General features: G+C 41.9%; 1 protein-coding gene and 1 pseudogene across 2 annotated transcripts in view; both read left to right on the top strand.

Annotated features, from left to right (window-relative positions):
• Window positions 1-19,485, top strand: part of BACH2 (BACH transcriptional regulator 2) — a 370,316-nt gene that overhangs the window by 283,955 nt on the left and 66,876 nt on the right. For both annotated transcript variants that reach the window (NM_001170794.2, NM_021813.4), the window contains one exon: window positions 4,033-4,287. In NM_001170794.2, the coding sequence (NP_001164265.1) occupies window positions 4,045-4,287 (243 nt within the window). In that variant the 5' untranslated portion in view covers window positions 4,033-4,044. The remainder of the gene's footprint in view (window positions 1-4,032; window positions 4,288-19,485) is intronic.
• Window positions 11,383-11,667, top strand: RN7SKP110 (RN7SK pseudogene 110; annotated as a pseudogene).

Raw genomic sequence — 19,485 nt, 5'->3', positions numbered from 1 at the left:
TCGAGACCAGTCTGGCCAACCTGGCAAAACCCGTCTCTACTAAAAATACAAAAATTGACCAAGCACGGTGGCACATGCCTCTTTAATTCCAGCTACTCCGGAGGCTGAGGCAGGAGAATCACTTGAACCCAGGAGGTGGAGGTTGCAGTGAGCCAAGATCGCACCACTGCACTCCATCTGGGTGACAGAGTGAGACTGTCTCCAAAAAAAATTTTCAATTAAAATATTGCTGAGAAAAAAATTTTCTTTTTTTTTTTTTTGAGGTGGAGTCTTGCTCTGTCGCCCAGGCTAGAGTGCAGTGGCGCAATCTCAGCTCACTGCAACCTCTTCCTGCTGGGTTCACACAATCTCCTGCCTCAGCCTCCCAAGTAGCTGGGATTACAGGCACACGCTACCATGCCTGGCTAATTTTTGCGTTTTTAGTAGAGATGGGGTTTCAGCATGTTGGCCAGGCTGGTCTCACACTCCTTACCTCAAGTTATCCACCTGCCTCAGCCTCCCAAAGTCTTGTGATTACAGGCGTAAGCCACCATGCCCGGCTGCTGAGAAAAATTCAAGATGATCTAAATAAAGAGACTGTGTTCATGGGTCAGAAGATTCATTATTGTTAAGATGGCAGTTCTTCCTAAATTCATCAGTAGATTCAGTACAATCTCAGTGAAAATTCCAGCAGACTATTTTGTAGAAATTGGCAAGCTGATTATAAAATGTATATGGAAATGCAAAGGATCAAACTAACTTTGAAAAAGAGCAAATCAAGACACTATGATAGTAACATAAAAGTAGATATAGAGGCTGGGTACAGTGGCTCACATCTGTAATCCCAGCACTTTAGGAGGCTGAGGTAGGAGGATCACTTGACGCCAGGAGTTTGAGACTAGCCTGGGCAATATGGCGAGACCTCATCACTCATACACACACACACACACACACACACACACACACACACACACACATATTTTTTTTTTTGAGACAGAGTCTTGCTGTGTCACCCAGGCTGGAGTGCAGTGGTGTGATCTCGGCCACTGCAACCTCCGCCTTCTGGGTTCAAGCGATTCTCCTGTCTCCGCCTCCCAAGTAGCTGGGATTACAGGCACGTACCACCACACCCAGCTAATTTTTGTATTTTTAGTAAAGACGCAGTTTCGCTGTGTTGGCCAGGCTGGTCTCGAACTCCTGACCTCGTAACCTGCCTGCCTCAGCCTCCCAAAGTGCTGGGATTACAGGAATACAAAAAATATTTTTAAATTAGCCAGATACGGTGATGCACACCTGTAGTGCCAGCTACTGCTGTGAGCTATGGCCATGCCACTGCACTCCAAAGTGATACCCTGTCTCCAAAACAAAACAAAACAAAAGTAGACAAACATAAAAATAGTAAAAGACAGAGTCCATAAATAGATTCATAAATGTAAAAACAACTGATTTTCAGTAAAAGTACAAATAAGCAAGGTTTGTCTCCAAAAAAAACAAAAGTAGACAAACATAAAAATAGTAAAAGACAGAGTCCATAAATAGATTCATACATGTAAAAACAACTGATTTTCAGTAAAAATACAAAGGTAATTCAGGAGAGAAAAGAGTATTTTTAACAATGCTGCGGGAATGATTGGATATTCCTATGCAAAAGGAAAAAAAGAACCTCAATCCATACCTGTTACCTACACAAAAATTAACTCAAAATGGGCCATAGACCTAAATGTAAGGGCTAAAAAAATAACACTTCTAGCAGAAAACAAGAGAAAATCTTTATGACCTTGGTTTAGTTTTTTAGATGTGACACCAAGATGGTTTTTTGGCTTCATCAAATAAAGACTTTCTGTTCCTTGAAAGACACTTTTAAGAGAATCAAAAGACAAGCTACAGACTGGGAAAAAATTTTTACAAGTCATGTATCTGATAAAGGACTTTTATTCAGAATATATGAAGAACTCTTAAAACTGAAAAATAAGAAAACAACCCAATTAAAAATGGGCAAAGAATCTAAATAGACATTTCTTCAAAGAAAATATACAGAGGTCAAATAAACACATGGAAGATTCTCAACAACTTCAGGCATTAGAGAAAGCAAATTAAACCCAAAAAGAAATATGATAGACCTATTACAATGTCCAAAACTAGAAAGAGTGACCATACCAAATGTTGGCAAGGATGTGAAGGAACTGGAACTCATACACTGCTGGTGGAAATGTAAAATGTTACAGCCACTTTAGAAAACAGTGGCAGACTCTTTAAAAGTTATGCTTACACATACCATATAATACATTCTACTCACAGGTATTTACCCAAGAGAAGTGAAAGCATATGTCCATCCAAAGAATTGTATGTGAATGTTCACAGCAGCTTTATTTGTAAATAAATACTGGAAACAACCCAAATATCCACTAATAGATGAATGGATAAAAAAAAAGTTACGCTATATTTATACAATAGGATGCTAAGTAATAAAGGAACAAACTTGATATATGCAGCAACATGGATGAATGGTGAAATAATTATGCTGAATAGAAGAAGCCAGATATAAAAGAATATGTAGTTTATGATTCCATTTATATGAAACTCTAGAAAATGCAAGCTAATATAGAATGTCAGAAAGCTGATCAGTCGTTGTAGCGGTGGGGTACAGAGAGGTACAAGGGAAAAATTATTACAAGGGCCTTAAGGAGACTTTTGGTGATGATGGATTTGTTTACTATCTTTATTGTGATGATGGTTTCACAGTTACATACACAATCAAAACATCAAATTGCTCACTATAAATATGTACAGTTTATTGTATGTTAAAGCTGTTTTAAAAAAATAAGAAAGCCAAAAAGAAAGTAGGACTCGCTACTGGAATTCTTACTACTCTAGCAAACATTACAGAAAAACTATGTAACTATATAAATTAATTACAGATACTGTATTTTAAAATACCTCAGCGGGGCCAGGCACAGTGGCTCACGCCTGTAATCCCAGCACTTTGGGAGGCCGAGGCGGGTGGATCACCTGAGGTCAGGAGTTCAAAACCAGCCTGGCCAAGATGGTGAAATCCCGTCTGTACTAAAAATACAAAAATTAGTTAGGCACGGTGGCACATGCCTGTAATCCCAGCTACTTGGGAAGCGGAGGCAGGAGAATCACTTGAACCCAGGAGGTGGAGGTTGCAGTGAGCTGAGAATCGCACCATTGCACTTCAGCCTGGGCGACAAGAACAAAACTCCCTCTCAAAAAAAAGAAAAAGAAATATTTCAATGGATATTTTTTAAAGCAAAGAACCTTTTGTAAAAGTAATCTTGACTGTTGAATGCATCTTTTTTCATGACTGCTATTGTGATATATTGTGTTTCCTTAAAGGGGATGTACATCAATTCAGCTGGGATAACGACAGCACAATTCCACATCTTTCTAAGAGCTGAGCAACTATTGCATTATGGCAATTGTGCTTTGCCTTGAAGTGGCAGAGGGCAGATGCAATAGCTGACTCTACTGAGTCTTCAGTGTGCAGACAGTTTGGTTCACTTGTTAAATATGTATTGTGATTTGATGTTTACTCTACTTGGCATCTCAGCCAAATTTCACCTTAGGAACTTACATATACTTCATCAAGACAACATTACAAATACTTCAAAATGATTCATTTCCTCTTCACACAAATCTAAGTTAGTCCTTGCATAGAGGCTATTTACATGTGAAATTTCTTTTTCAGCCTACTAACAAAATCAGAACCACCAAGTTTTAAAATACCAATGTGTTTTAAATGTTTTAAATGTTCTATTAAAAGATCTGGCTTTGTTACCATGGGGTAAAAGAATGCGGTAAGTAGGAAGCATAAAAGTCAGCTGTGGAACTTGACTTTACAGATATGTTTCCTGAGCTCATTGTACAGAGTAAGCACAAATATGCTGATTGGTAATTCCCCTCCTTCCTGCCATGCTCATGGCAGTGGGACACAGGAACCATGATGTTCTTTCTCACCTCCTCTCTCTGATCCTACAGCTGTGGTGACTCAGCCTTTCTTTCTTTCTTTCTTTGTTTCTTTCTTTCTTTCAGGGTGTGAACGGCATGTCTGTGGATGAGAAGCCTGACTCCCCCATGTATGTGTATGAGTCCACAGTCCACTGCACCAACATCCTCCTGGGCCTCAATGACCAGCGGAAAAAGGATATTCTCTGTGACGTGACTTTGATCGTGGAGAGGAAGGAGTTCCGGGCCCACCGGGCTGTGCTGGCCGCATGCAGTGAATATTTTTGGCAGGCGCTGGTTGGACAGACAAAAAATGATTTGGTGGTCAGCTTGCCTGAGGAGGTACAGTAATTTGGTTTGTGTGATTGTTAATGAATGTTTATTGACTTACAGAAAACTGGCTGACTAGGAGCTAGAAGATGTACTAGGTGCCATGTCCCCACTCAGGAGTTGATGTCCAAGTCACATGTTAGGTCTGTGGCATAGTCAGTTTCTATTTGATACACTTAAAGTCTCAGAGGCACAGAATGTGAATATCTTTCTTGAAGGGAACTGAACCTCACCTGTGGCTCAGTCACTTGTAGTTTCTAGTTCACTTACCCTTCAGGTTTTGAGTGGTTCAGCCTAAGTTTGGCACAGTCCTAGATGTGGGATCTGAATCATTGCTATGATTTCTGTCTTTCAGATGGTGTAAGGATCACTAGATTTCCCTTGAGAGTAAAAGATCGAAAGCATTCACAGCACCTTCTTTGCTTGGGGGAAAAATAAAAGCAACTAGTAATTTTCACCATTAATTCAGTAAGATTCTAAGAAGTGTAAACTTGCTTTTCTCACCGTTGTTGAAAACAGCCCACTCAGGTTTCTTAATCACATCAGTGAATACGGTTATTTTGGCACTTTGGGAACACTAGTAGCTGGACCTGGTCTGTCCAGAGATGACATTTAATTGGATGGTTTAAGTTGTAGGACCCCAAAAGATGGGCTTCACAATGGCAAACCATTAAATGGTCATCCTTTGAACCATATATACACTACCTCTTGGTTCATCATCCTGACTTCCGTCATTCCTATGGGACTAAGGATAATACTTTGTGTTCGGGCAGAATCATTCCCTGTGTACCACCAGCGCGGTGTGCATCTCTTGGGCCACCACCAACAGTTACACAAGCTTTGTACTTTGTAACTCCCAGGAGTACAACTCACATCCATAGTTTTTGCAAATAGATTCCCTAGAGTTGTGTGGTGTTTGACTAAGCAGCTCTTCACAGTGATCTTAGGAGAAACCAAAGACCCCATCACCCAGATATGATGCTGATGGTTACAACCAGTATTAAATCACAGAAGTCACAAACCAGACGCCTTCAGGGGCCTGGCAAATAATATAAATGAGTGAAGTAGGTTGTATATAGGACAGTAGGAAGTGATGGGGCAAGCACCTGCTCCACCAAAAGGCATCTAAATTCAACAAAAAACAAGAAGCCAGGTGCAGTAGAGTGCACCTGTAGCCCCAGCTACTCAGGAGGCTGACACAGGAGGATCCCTTGAGCCCAGCAGTTCGAGACAAGCCTGGGCAACATAGCAAGACCCCATCTTTAAAAAAATAATAACTTGGGAGGCCGAGGCGAGCAGATTATGAGGTCAGGAGTTTGAGGCCAGCCTGCCCAACATGGTGAAACCCCATCTCTACCAAAAATACAAAATATTAGCCAGGCATGGTGGTGTGTGCCTATAATCCCAGCTACTCAGGAGGTTGAGGCAGGAGAATGGCTTGAACCTGGGAGGCGGAGGTTGCAGTGAGCTGAGATCACGCCATTGCACTCCAGCCTGGGTGACAGGGCGAGACCCTGTCTCAAAAAAAATAATAATAATAATTAAAATTTTAAAACACTATTTGTGTTTGTCTATTTGATAGACAAACAAGATATGGGTAGTGGAGGTTTCTTCAAATCCCAGACCCTTGTTAAGCAACATCTGCTATTACCCCTGCTGAGCAGGAAGGCAACCAGCTGATAAAAATGAGGACTGGGGCCAGGTGCAGCAGCTCACACCTGTCATCCTGGTACTTCAGGAGGCCAAAGCGGGAAGACCACTTGAGTTCAGGAGTTCAAGACTGTCTTGGGCAACATAGGGAGACCCCCATCTCTACAAAAGATTTAAAAATTAGCTAGAGGTGGTGGCACACACCTGTGGTCTCAGCTACTCAGGAGGCTGAGGAGGGAGGATTGCTTGAGCCCAGGAGATCGAGGCTGCAAGTGAGCCATGATCACACCAGTGCACTCCAGCCTGGGTGACAGAGTGAGAACGTGTCTCAAAAAAATAAATAAATAAATAAGGACTGCATAAGCACTAGCGTTTTCACATTCGTATCCTTGTTACATACTCAAAATAGAATGCTCCATTACCACTCCACATACCACTAGCAAGTAGGTAGCTAGAGAGATCCCAACACTAGAAGCAAAAGGACAGATCAGCTAAATGACATACTGGGGCTGGGATAAGGAGTGGGGACTGGGTACCAAGTAACGGGAAGGCCGAGGAATGGCAGCTGCACTGTAGCCAGGGGATCCTGAGCTGGCCTTTCCTTAACTGCGCTGTTGGGGACATACTTAACTAGCTGTCCTGCCATGAGGACTAGGTGAGATGATAAATACAAAAATTCTCAGCACAGCCCTTATCCTCTAGTAGGCATTTGACAAACGTAAGTCTCTTTTTAAAGGTGGAGTCTTGCTCTGTTGCCCAGGTTGGACTGGAACTCTTGAGCTCAAGGGATCCTCCTGCCTTGAATTATTTACCAAAAATACAATACCAAGGCAGTAAAGTGTAAAGGAAACTGGGATACAAATGTATATGACATAACCTTAAAGTTTCTTTTTAGATCAAATCCCTGATAATTGCTTATTTCCATGGCATTGGAAAAGGCATTTTAAATAAGAGGCACACTGTATAGACATCGCACAAAAATCTATTTGGCCTTTTAAGTGAGAATTTGCTGTGTGTTCTCATTTAAGTGAGAATTTGCTGTGTGTTGATTTTCTTTCTTCCTCCCCCTGTAAAATGATTATCATCCCTGCATCATCTACATCCTCGAAACCATTGAAACATTCTGGTTGCTCACGTATCTGAAATCTTCAGGTAGAACTAGATCCTTTTTTTCTTATGAAACGCAAATTCATACTTTCAGTAATCCAGCTCTAAGTATCTTGTTGATGGAACATGCAAGCCAGCCCCAGTGGCATTTTCTTTTGAGGCTCTGTCATTGTTTCTGAGGCCTCCTTTGAAGAGCCCTCCCCCTCTGCTCAGGGCACCTGCCTGTGGACCCACGTGCTGGGCATTGTTTTCCTGACTTGCTGTGTGCACACTGAAATGTCCCTGCAGGCTCAATGGTAATTGTCACACTTAGCTCAGTGAGTGATTTCATAAAATTTGAATTAAGTGGTAAATAAGCAGACATTCTAAATACTACCTTAGAAAGTAGCTTTCTGGAACTAATCGGCATTTGGTTCATAGGATATAAGAAAAACCATTAGATTAGCTCCTTGGAAATCTTTAAACCTCATCATAATCCTATCGCCAAATTTGAATCAACTTCTGGCCCTGCCCTCCTCTTAGTCACATTTGACCCATCTACACTCCCTTGGCAGCCAACCGCTGTGCTCCTCAAGGGGGCCAGCACAGCCAGGCCTGAGAGTTCCTCCTAGGAGCCTGAAACTTCCGAACACAAACTGCCACTCCTCCCCCCAACTCCCCATCCACCTTAGGCCAAACCCAGATCTGCCGTCCAGCGACTGTCCAGTTGTGCAATTCCACCCCCAAATCCCAATTCCTGATGAGCCACGCCATTACCAGCACATTAGAGCCACTCACAGAGCCCAGCATAGTCTCTAAACTGAAAGACAGACAAAAATAGAGGGAGGCCTCCTTCTAGAAATCAAGGAATAATTGAATTATCTTGCGTTTTTAAAAAAAAACAAATGGCAATCCCTAGGATTTCTAGGACTTGAGTGTTTGTTCCCCACTGAAAAACACACCCAGGTAATTGTGTCAGCAAATAGTAGGAGATAAGCCACTGTACTTAGTACTTTCATTACATAATAAAGCAGATCATTCAATTTTATAATGAGTAAGTATATGTTTTGCTAAGAGATGAAGAGAAAGTAGTTGATGTGCTAAGCATTGCAGGGCCGTTCTTCCACTGCTCATTAGTATGACACCTCCTTAGCTATAGTCATGGAGGCCATTTCGGGCTGGATGCCAGCCATGACGGAAGTAGCATCACAACTATGAAGTTCAGTCTTATGGCGTGTCAAGTTCAGAGGACAGGGAGGGGATGTGCTTCCTTAGAAGATGCTCAGCCCACAGTGGGTTTGCACATCAACACTATTCTTACGTGGCTGCCTGGCTCCTTGACAGAATGCTAGGGGAAAAGTGGCTGTTAAAAGGTTACTGCCAAGGTCTCACCACCTTTCTCTGGCTTGCTTCCTGTGTCCTTGTACCCTCTAGAGAAGGGGACGGGTTCATGCAGGGAACAGCTACAGGCTGGGGGTGAGTATGGCCCCTGCAGGTAGACCTTATGTTTTCCTCGGTATAAATAGATTTCAGGTTTGTGCTCGCTTGTGCTCACTATCTTTTGCTTTCTCTCTCTCACTCAACATTTTGGGGCAAATCTCACTTTTCAGTGCTATACAGGAAAGAAAGCTGACCCAGAAGGATTCTAAAGAAAAGGCATTTGTTGTTAAGTCTTAACCACAGGCTGCAATAAAGAACATTCCTGCAGCAGTACTGCCAAGCACAGATGCCAACAAGGAAATTATGGAATCTTCTTGTCTGGAAGTTTTTAGAGGATATGAAAGCTGTTAATGTCTCTGGGATGGTTTAGGTTCAGTCTTAAGGAAGCAATAAGACAGTCATGATTATCTTTGGGCAACCCTTTCAGTATGTAATAGTACAGAAAGTAGTTAACGCCACAGCACAGGGTGACAACAGCATTCTGAGCCTGAGGGTGAGGACAAGGGAAGGTGGAGTTTTGGTGGGAAACAGGGGTGAAGTCTTTGGGAAGTGGCATGACCAGGATGAGAAGGGCAAAACACTCACTTAGCCCAGAGCACAGAGCCTGCCCTTTGGCCTCACCCCATTCACCTAAACAAAACTCTGAAGAAGACACCACCACTCTTTACCTGAAAAAGAGTAATGGGCAGATTTTTTTAAACTAGGATCATCAGCCTTGAGGGGCTGGGAAAACCACACTCTGCACCTTGGTATCACTGCATGTGAGGTCTTCAGCAAACTAGTCTTCCTCTCTGGGCTTCTGTTTCCTCACTCATTTATTTATTCATTCAACAAATATTTGTCAAGACCCTGCTATGTAACCAGGAGACATCATTCTAGGTGCTAGGCGAACCTAGCTCACATTCCAGTGGGGAGGAGGAGGAAAAAGAGGAAATTAATCAGTGTTAAATATACTTTGTTAGATGCCATTGAGGAAAATAAAACAGAGAAGGGAGTTAGGATACAAGTATTACAATTTTAAGAAGAGTGATCAAGAAAAGCCTGTTCAAGGGGGTGACTTTTGAAGAGAGACCTGGAGCAGGTGAGGGAGCTGGCTGTGCTGATGTCTAGGGAAAGGGTGAGCCAGACAGGAGGAATCACAAGGAGGCTGTGGTGGGCAGGGCGTGTTTGCCACCCAGGAGCAGAGTGAGCCAAGGCAGGGTGGGGAGAGGTGAGTCAGAGAGGTGATGGTCCAGACTGTGCACCTCACTGAGCGATTGGTCTTTTTTTGGAACGAGCTGGCCACTGGAGAGTTTCACAGGTCATTTTGAGTGCCACGTGAAAATAAATTGAAAGAGGGCCAGGGCAGAAGCAGGGAAAAGACACAAGAGGCTAAGACAGCAACCCAGGTGTGACCTGATGGCCTACACCAGGGTGATAGCAGTGACATGGTGGTTGGTGTCAGATTCTGGTGATATTTTGAAGGTAGAGCTCATGGGAATTTCTTATATGTTGGATACAAGGTGGGAGAGAAAGAGAGGAGTCACAGATAACATCCAGGCTTAGGGCCTCAACTATTGGAAGAATGGAGTTGGCATTAACTGAGATGGGTGAAGCGAAGACTGAGAGGAGTAGGATTGGGGACTCGGGTAGAATTGGGAGTTTTGTTTATTTTTTTGTTTAATTTTTGAGACAGAGTCTCACTGTGTTGCTCAGGCTGGAGTCCAGTGACACAATCTCAGCTCGCTGCCACCTCCACCTCCCAGGTTCAAGCAATTCTCCTGCCTCAGCCTCCCAAGTAGCTGGGATTACAGGTGTGCACCACCACGCCTGGCTAATTTTTGTATTTTCAGTAGAGACGGGATTTTGCCATGCTGGCCAGGCTGGTCTCGAACTCCTGACCTCAAGTGATCCACTTGCTTCGGCCTCCCAAAGTGCTGGGATTAAGGCGTGAGCCACCATGCCCGGCCTTCTATTTTGTATATATTAAGTTTGAGATGCCTGTTGACATCTAAGTAAAGATGTCTAGTATGCAGTTGGACTTACATGGCCAGAACTCATGGGAGAAGTCTATCCTAGAGATAAAAATTGTAATACCAGAATATTGGGAATACTAAAAGCAACAGGACTACATACGATCACCAAGGAAGTGAGTGGAGATAGAAAGGAAAAGAAGTCCCAGGATTGAGCCTTGGAGCTTTCTCGAATTAACAGGTCAGGGAGATGAAGAGGAGCCGGCAAGGTAGACCAAGAAGGAGCAAGCCTGAGGTGGGAGGAAAAGCAACAAAGCATAGTGCGTGGTAAGCCAGGTGAAGAAAGCATTTCGAGGAGGAGAGAGCCATCAACTAGGTCAAATGATGCTGACTGTAAGCTAAGATGAAGGCCAAAAACTGACCATCCGGCAATTTGGAGGCCATTTGTGATTTCGTTGAGCACTTTTGGGGGAGCAGTAGAAACAAAAACCAATTTGATTGTGTTCTAGAGAGAATAAGGCTTTTTGAGTGAAAGGGAACAGAGAAGTAGATCAGTAGCTGGAGGGAAACGGTGTCAAAAGAGGTTTCATTTGGTTTTTTATTTTAAGTAGGAAGAAATCCCAACATGTTTGTACTCTGTGGTGAAGATTACCATTGCTCACCCACACCCAGTTTTCCTCTTTCCTAGACACACAGGAAGACTAAATTTGTAATCAGGTAGGCCATATGACTAGATCTAGCTGATGAAATGTGAGGTGAGGACTCTGCTCCAAGGCAGTCAAAAGTAGGTATAAGCTCTTTATGCTTTGTCCCATCCACTTAGCTGGTGTCAAAGGACTCTAGAGTGATGAAGCTGTAGCCTAGGTCCCTGAGTCACTGTTGGAAGAGAGCCAGCAAAATCCATCTGACTCAAATCAGACTCTGACATGATGAGAAATAAACTTTTAAGTTAATTAAGCACTCAAGATTTGGTGTTTCTGGATGTGAAGGCAATCTGGCTGCAACATCTGTCACCCCAACATCGCCAGGTTGATTGGGCTGATCTGGCTGGCTCAGTGGGTGTCGTTTCCCTCCCTCACTGCTCCACGTGTGTCCCTCCTGAAGCTGCAGGCTTGGTTGAAGAGGACGACCTTCCCTGATAGAGGAGGACCGTTCTTCATTCACAAGTATATACATAGCTGTGCTGCCTGCTAGAAGCTCCAAACAATCTCTCAAGATGTGGTGTTTTATCTGTTAGCACAGCAAAGCCTAACCTGTCCTAATACCTGGGCTGAAGGGAAAGTTCCAAAAGAGAGAGAAAACTTGATGATACAGGAGACAGAAGTTCAATTGCCTTCAGTATGCAACAGAGGATGGGATCTACTAACCAAATGGCCAGACTCAATAAGTCACATCCTAATCTGAAAATGATGGATTGGGGCTGGATGATCTCTGAGATCCTAGCCTATGTCACACAGGTTTACAGTCCTTGAACTTGGCTAGCTTCCTGTTGGAGGAAGAGAGAAAAAATCCTGTTGGTCAGGAAGAGTGGAGGGATGTTTGGATTGAGAGGTAGGGAAAAGCCATAAAGATGGGAGGCAAACTGGCCAGGAAGGGAGAGAACCACAGGACTCCAGAAGAGGCACAAGCTCAGTTCTCCCACTTTTATGACTTTTCCCTGACTTTTCAGAAAGGGCCTTCCTTACAGGCATTCACAGGAGATGACAGCTAAAGAGCGGAAAGAGACTTCTGGGCTATCTGATCACCTAGAACATAGGCGGATCATGGCTCTTTAACCATGTCAGAAGGTGTTAAGATTTTGAGAAAATTAGTTCACATTTAATGACCTCAATTTCAATATGAGTGTACAAGGAGTAACAATGCTAGTTACCAGTTTGACTTGCAGGGCCGCTGTTCAGATAAATGAAATGTGATGTGTTAAACTTCTTGGAAGGATGGTGCTATAGAAACAGTAGGTGTTATTATTCCCCTAAAAGGAAAGAACAGTCTTCTCTGATGAAATGGCTGTTACCTCAGAATCCTCATTAAAAGCTGTGGTGCAATTTTCCAAGTTGCGTTAGTAAGACTTGGCAGCAGATGAAAAAAAAGCAAATAAATAAGAAGTCAAAATATTTCAGGTAACTACTTGCTGGCAAATGAGAAGTTTTCAAGTCCTAGAATCATACTGATAATTTTGAAATGCCTAAAGGCAGAACTTATTTATAGTAACGCAGAGGTGACTGCTAGCCCTGAAATGTGGTCCTCAGTCTCGGATGGAGTTGCGGTAAGGCAGCGCCACAGAAAGGGGAGCTAATACTATTGTGACTCCAGCCCTGGAGGCTGTGGTGCTGATACAGAGGGAGGGAAATCTAGTGTGAAAATAGCCACAGCAATAGCTAATTTTAAAACTGAGACACATAAGCTGTTTCCAAACCTCTTACATTTTTTAAATCCTGAGGCCAGTAAGCCTATTTAAAGAAACTTATGCAGAAATGTGTTCCTCTTTTGGCATAGTAGTAGGAGTTGAGTAGACAAAAACCTAAGACATATCTAAAAATCATTTTAAGTGACCTGATTTCAAAGCCGTTTTTAAGATTTCTTTTCACTATGTCTATTTATCCCTATCTGATGTAGGATGACCACAATAATCAACATTTTGAAATAGATTTATGACAAGGCCTCTGAAAGTAAACTTGTTTGCATCAATTTTTTTAAAATAGTTACCGGCGTATCTATTCATTTTTAAACTCCTCTGTATATGAACAAAATATCCTTCATGTTTCTTTCTTTCTCCCATTATGGAGTCTCTTAGCTATTTCAATTAAAATTAATAATAGCTTTAAAGACAAAGTTCAGAGCTATAAAGTTCCTCACTTGATCAGTCATCATAACTATTATTTTGTCGTAGTTAATCATAGAACCCGGGCCTTTACCAAGGTACTTAATTAAACTTTTTAATTTATGATAAGAATTTAAATAGCACTTGTGAGAGTTTTTCAAAATTATTTCTACTTCCCATCCAGATTACACCCTACACCCTTGGAAAAAAAAAAAAAAAGGTGTGACAAAGAGACATCATGGCTGTCAGCCAAGGGTATTGTAGGTCACGCCAGCACGAACTGGCAGCAAGCCATTGTCCAATTAGCATGGCTTCATCCTTGCAGAGTAATCACTCTTTGAGTAGATGGTTGAGTCACTCACGATGCAGTGGTGCTTCACTTGAGCCAGTCCTTCTTAGAATAGGTTTCCTGTTCGCTGTTAATACCTGTCCTCATTTGCCAATACAAGTGCAGGATCATTTAGGCTGAAAGCTGAATAGAAGGCAAACATTGATTATGTATCTCATTTCTCTTGCTTCCTGAAAACTGAGATTGCAGTTAAACAGTGAAAGCACGGTGTGTTTTTTAAGTGAGTTACAAGAAAACACAGTTTCCACACCAAAATACTCAGAGTTAGAATCCAAGAGTCAGTTTTTGTTCTGTCTTTTCTTTGGCAGCTTTAACATTTGGCACAAATCTGAGGATATCAATAAAGTTACCTAATAATCTTAATGGATTCGCATTCCATTCAAAAATTTGGAATGTCACCCAATGTCTTCAGGTTTCAACTCCATTGTTGGGGTGTTCATGACATTTCTGGTGGGTGTGCAGTTATAAAAGCAGACAGCTTTTGAAAGAGGCCCTTCTTATGGTGAGAACACCTGGAATCTTGGTTGGATAAGCTGTAAGCCAGGAAATTGATTCAGGAATTTTTTAATAAAATGGATCATACCCAGGCATTGGAGTGATGCATGGTGGTCAGTTAAAAAAAAAAAGGGAAAAAAGAAAGAAGGCTGTTCTTAAAAGCACAAAGAAAATAGAATAAAATTGTGGGCACTAATCAGTTAATACTTTTATTTTCTTGTTTGTTTGGGTTCTGAACCAAATTGCAGGCTAGAAAAGAATTGGCTTGTTTTGCTTTGAGGAGTGGAGAAGCAATTAAATAATAACACTTTTGGTTTCCTAGGATCTCGGAAGTGTTCTTTTTTGCCATTAATTTGGTACACATAGTAAAATTCATCACTTTGCCATAGACTCCTAAAATATGTTGACAGTCTCTGTAACTGACATTGGCATCACCTCCAAGCCAGCTAGTAATGCGGTGAGCTTTGCTGAGATGGACTTTCGTGTGCAGCCTGGCGAAGGCTGTTTGTGAAAAAGTTAATGCATTCCACACCCTGGGTGGGATGGAGCCAGGCCTCCAACGTGAGCACATTTTTGACTGACTGGCAGCAAAGAGAAATACTGGCAGCTGTTCCCAAGCAAGGCCAAAAGTTGGCCAAGGGAGGAAAAAAAAAAATGCTGGGATTTAGCCAATGAAAGATTCCTGGGCTTAGAAGAAAACCAAAGGAAGGATACAGAAGGTCACAATTACAGGCCTCCAGCTTGTTGAAGAAATACCTATTTCATTTTATCTTCTGTTTTATAAAGGACAGCTATTAAATGTCATTGTTACTCATTTTTTCCTGATTATTTTTAAGCCATCATTTTCTATTGATTTCTTTAATTTTTGTATTCTTTATATGCAAAACCAAATGACAGCTTATTCTTCCCAAAAGTGTTACATAGATGACATCATTCCTGGAGGTGGCATTAACAACCAGAACTGGGTAGGGCAGGGCAGTCTATGAGCAGTGGCCACACCCTTGGGTTTATCAAGCCAGGTTGAGTGGCACCAGTCAAATGGAAGGTTTATATGGGTCACTTTGAAGATCTATCCAGAGAAACCCTTCTGATGCCTCCCTGCTTATCTGTTTTTCTTGTTTTGTATGATAGTTAAGAAAAGAGAAGTGTAAGGAAAACAGGAAGTTACTAAAAAGGCCAGGAGAATGGCTGTTAACAGACAGGACCCTCAAGCGTCTTGCTCTATAAAGATGAACACTCTACTACCATGAGAGGCGTTCTGATGTGTGCACTGTTTGTTTCCCACTGAATGCCTTAGTCTATGTGGGAGTATTCTTTGTGTTTCTTATATCTGCCAAGTGGATCTGTAGTAGCACAGGAATTGAATTGTACCCTACAAATAGGAAGGTGGAAAGATTAAAAATGTGGAACACCCAGATTCAGGGTAAGAACTTCATAGTTTGGGAAATCAGGGAAGATAACTGAAGTTACTAAGGGAAGATAATTGAAGCACAGTTTTCGTAACTGGAGATTTTTTTGGATGAGTTAAATGCATTCAATTCACAAGGTGTTCATGTAGAGAAGTGCAGTAACCTTTCAAAGTTCTGTTTAACAAAGTCTTTCCATTCCTCCTATTTAAGGCTGCTTTAGTAGATGTTGACCAGATGTCTCATTCACTGACAAGAAGAAATAGCATCCCAACTATACAGGAGGGATTTCAGCTATATTAAAGGAGGATTTTGTAACAGTATAAGATGCTAGACATGGGAGAGAGGCACCAAAAAATACAGAATTACGTTCAGAGGAGCATGCATGTGTGTGTGTGTGTGTGTGTGTGTGCCCGTGTGCATGTGCTTAAACCAGATGCTTAATAAGACAAAATCCTTAAGTACAACACTTCATAGAAGCAGAGGAATGGACCACAAGACCCCAGAGGTCATTTCTTTGGGGGATTAACTTAGAAATGTAAAGCAAGATTACCTCCTTCAAAGAACCCACAATACAGTTGAAGAATCAAAAGAAAAACATAGAAATCAAAGGTGAGTGATTCAAGAGTATTCATTGTAGATGGCAGGGTACTGGCAGTTGTTTGTGCTGCAGAGGTTCAGGTGGAGGGAAGGACAGGATTTTTCTTCCATCTCTTTCATGAAGTTTATCTCACCTAAAATCAACACCCACAGGATGGACAGGACTTCACTAGGGAGCAAGTGGGGAGAGACCCTTCAGGAGAGGACACTGGTGTGGCAAAGACCCAAAAAGAGGCACTTGCAGGACTTTGAGGAGGCATCTTTTATCAGCACAAATGAGAGATTTGGGGAAATAAGTCAAAATATGGTCTCACTACATGGGGCCTTACTATGGAAGAATAAAATTTAGACAAAAGAATTTAGACTTGACCAGGTAAGCAATAGGAATTCATGAAACATTGTGAACCAAGAAGTGACATAATAAAAAACAGTTTAAGGAATATCTGTCTAGCAATGGAATGCATGTTGGATGGCAACAACAACCCACCACAGACAGAGAGCACAGTCAGGAGACACAGCCTGAGCCTAGCATAGGTGAGGAAGGTCTACACCTGGGTAAAGAACTGGGAGAATGAGGGGGCCTTTCAGAGATACCAAGAAATTGGGTAGGGAGCACATGGATGGTGAAAGAGGCCATCAAGATGGCCTTGATACGTATCCGTAGTGCTTTACATGTGCCTAAGGCACTGAGATCACAGAGCCAAAGGTATAGACAGATAGGAGGAACACCAGCATAGGCAATGACTGGAAACACTAGAAATCGCTGACCCCTTTGAGAAACAGGAAAAAAAAGGGGCAGGGGCTGAGATTGAGCTCCAACATTTAGGCTCCATGGCTGGTTCCTCCACTAAGAACAAGGTTTACTCCGAATTGCTGGTGTTAAGTTTATCTTCATTTATTTGGAACATATTTAAGCCCCAACAGTTTATCAGACTGAGGAATACATATAGAGTTGCTCCCTAAATTACCTTTTAAGGGGTATGCCTCCCAAGTGATATCGCGAGCATCAACTCTTACTTAGCATAGGTGAGTGCAAGATCCTGCAAGGGGATGCTAAATTTCTAAAGGACAAAGCACTTGTTCTCAAAGCTGTTTGTAATCTAGTGCCACGTATTGTTTTAAATGCCATGAACAAATTCAGGTACAGGTGATCACTCGGGGTCAAAGCCATTAAGGTGAATGTTTGATGGACACTATTATTATACCAAAACAACACATGCGGAAACAAAGTAACATCACACACACTCTTTTCTTGTCACAAGCGATAAGTCAGAACTGTGCATTAAAGGATCAGACTGTCTTCACAGTAACCCGGGCAGGGGTCAATCTGAGCCTGGAGTGTCAGCCAGGTGTTAGGTATCTTCTGATCCAAATATTCATGAAATACAATACCCTTCGCTGACAGCCATGATGTCTCTTTGTCACACATCCCCACTGGCGTAGTCGGTATGATTTGACCTTATAAAGCTTTGAGATATAACTTCCAGTGAGAGGAAAATAAAGGATTAGAGGAACAAGCTTACCAACACCATGAGGAAGCAAAGGGACAAATCTGGGGTCGGGGGATGGTGGTGGGGTGGGAGGGTGAGGGTAATTCTACAGGACAACTTCTTGCAGGCCTGATTTCTTCAATAAGTCAGTGACATAAAAATGGACTGCGCTAAGTTAAACAAGATTTAAGAGCTTTAAAAACCAGATGTAGTTCATGGTCCTGGAGTGGTTACTGGTTTACACAAACCAGTTATAAAGGACTCTGGAGTGGGGGAAATTGGAGAAACTCAAATATGACCCAAGTAGTTGATGAAAGGTGATGATCAGAAAAAGTGGTTGGAGGAACGATATGCCCAGTATGATCTCACTGTGGTTAAAAATACAAATGTGAGTGCAAGTGGTGTGTACATACGAAGAGCCATGAGAACGTGTGCAAAGTAAAAATATCAACAGGGTGACCTGTGAATGGTAGAAATGTAATGGAGTTCTTTTTCTTTGTGTGCATTTTCTAATTTCTTACAGTGTACATTATTACATTTCTATAATGAAGAAAGGGTTATTTGAATGGGTAGGTGGATGAAAGGGAAGGAAGATCAGGAAAAGGATGGGGCATAGTACTGGAACAATGAAACTCTGTAGTATGGCTTTGCTTGTGATTTCAAAGGTTCTGCATGCCCCATGGGATTTCTCTCTAAAGCCACCAGTGGGACCTAAGGGGACCAATGCTTCCTGGTCCCTTCCGTCCAACTCGGGGCTCTTCATTCTTCTAAGAACCAAAGTCCTAAACTTTGGCTGAATGGGCTTTCACTCACAGTCTCATTGGTTAAATGAAAATCCAAAAAGCAACAAAGGAACTCAATTAGATTTCTTCCATTTCCTTCTAATTTAAAGTTAGAAGACCTTTTCCCATATTTAAATTTGCCCCGACCATTGAAACCTACAGATGCCTTTGCATTCCTGTATGTTTTCTGGAGTTACATCTCTGGAAATGACTAGTGTCATTTTCAGTGGAAATAACTCGTATGTTTTTCCAACTGTCTGACTCTATGTCAGACACTGTATCTGACAGACAAGGAAATTCTTACCTTCTGATCAAATCTTGTATGACTGTGAAGGAAGCAGGGAGTGTGAGGAAAGGTGTCTCTCCTTTCCCATTCCCTTGGTATACACATACTGAAGTACTGAAGTTGAAGAAAACAAGACTGCTTTCGTGGTTATTTTCAAACAAATATAAATGTCTGTAAGCGTGTGCTTTGGTAAGTCACTCAATAAGCATAATGTACACTTTAGGCTCTGGTTGAGTATGGAATATCTCCAAGTAGCTGCTTCTTCAAGGATATATCACAATGTTCAGTAATAAGGGCATGTTTTCATATTAATCAGATGAATGATGACATTTTAAAAACTAATAGTAAAAGAGGCCATTTCCATCCTCAACTGGGTTTTATAAAAAAGAAGACATTTACCTTCTGAGCCAGTTTATTCAAGTATGAAATATAGAAAAAAAATTCAAAAAAAAAAAAACATAAAGTCACCCTAGATCCTGGAAGTCCTGGGCCCTGGTGTCCTTGGAGTTCATGCCACCTTCCTCCCTATCCACATGTCACTTGAATTGGAGTCTGGGAACCATTTACTGTGGACCCTGTGGTAATGAGGTGGTTTCCCTTCATCATGCCTAAGATGTAGAAGAAGACAACTTAATTGGTGTGTGACTGAGACTTCAGAAGAGTGAGTCAGAATAGAAGGTGATGCTATAATGGATCTGCACCTGTAAGGCTCACGCTAATGTTTAAAATGACTTCACGCAAACTACTCGGTGGTCCATGGATTGCCAGGGTTTTCCTTGCTTCCTTCTCAGGAGCCTCCAGAAATATCTTTTATCTTTTTTTCACTTTTTTATCACTTTTTTTAAATCACAGTTTA

The sequence above is a fragment of the Homo sapiens genome, chromosome 6, assembly GCF_000001405.40.
Source record: "Homo sapiens chromosome 6, GRCh38.p14 Primary Assembly".
NCBI classification, from domain to species: domain Eukaryota; kingdom Metazoa; phylum Chordata; class Mammalia; order Primates; family Hominidae; genus Homo; species Homo sapiens.
Note: the sequence above shows the minus strand (reverse complement) of the source record. Positions and strands in the feature narration are given on the sequence as shown.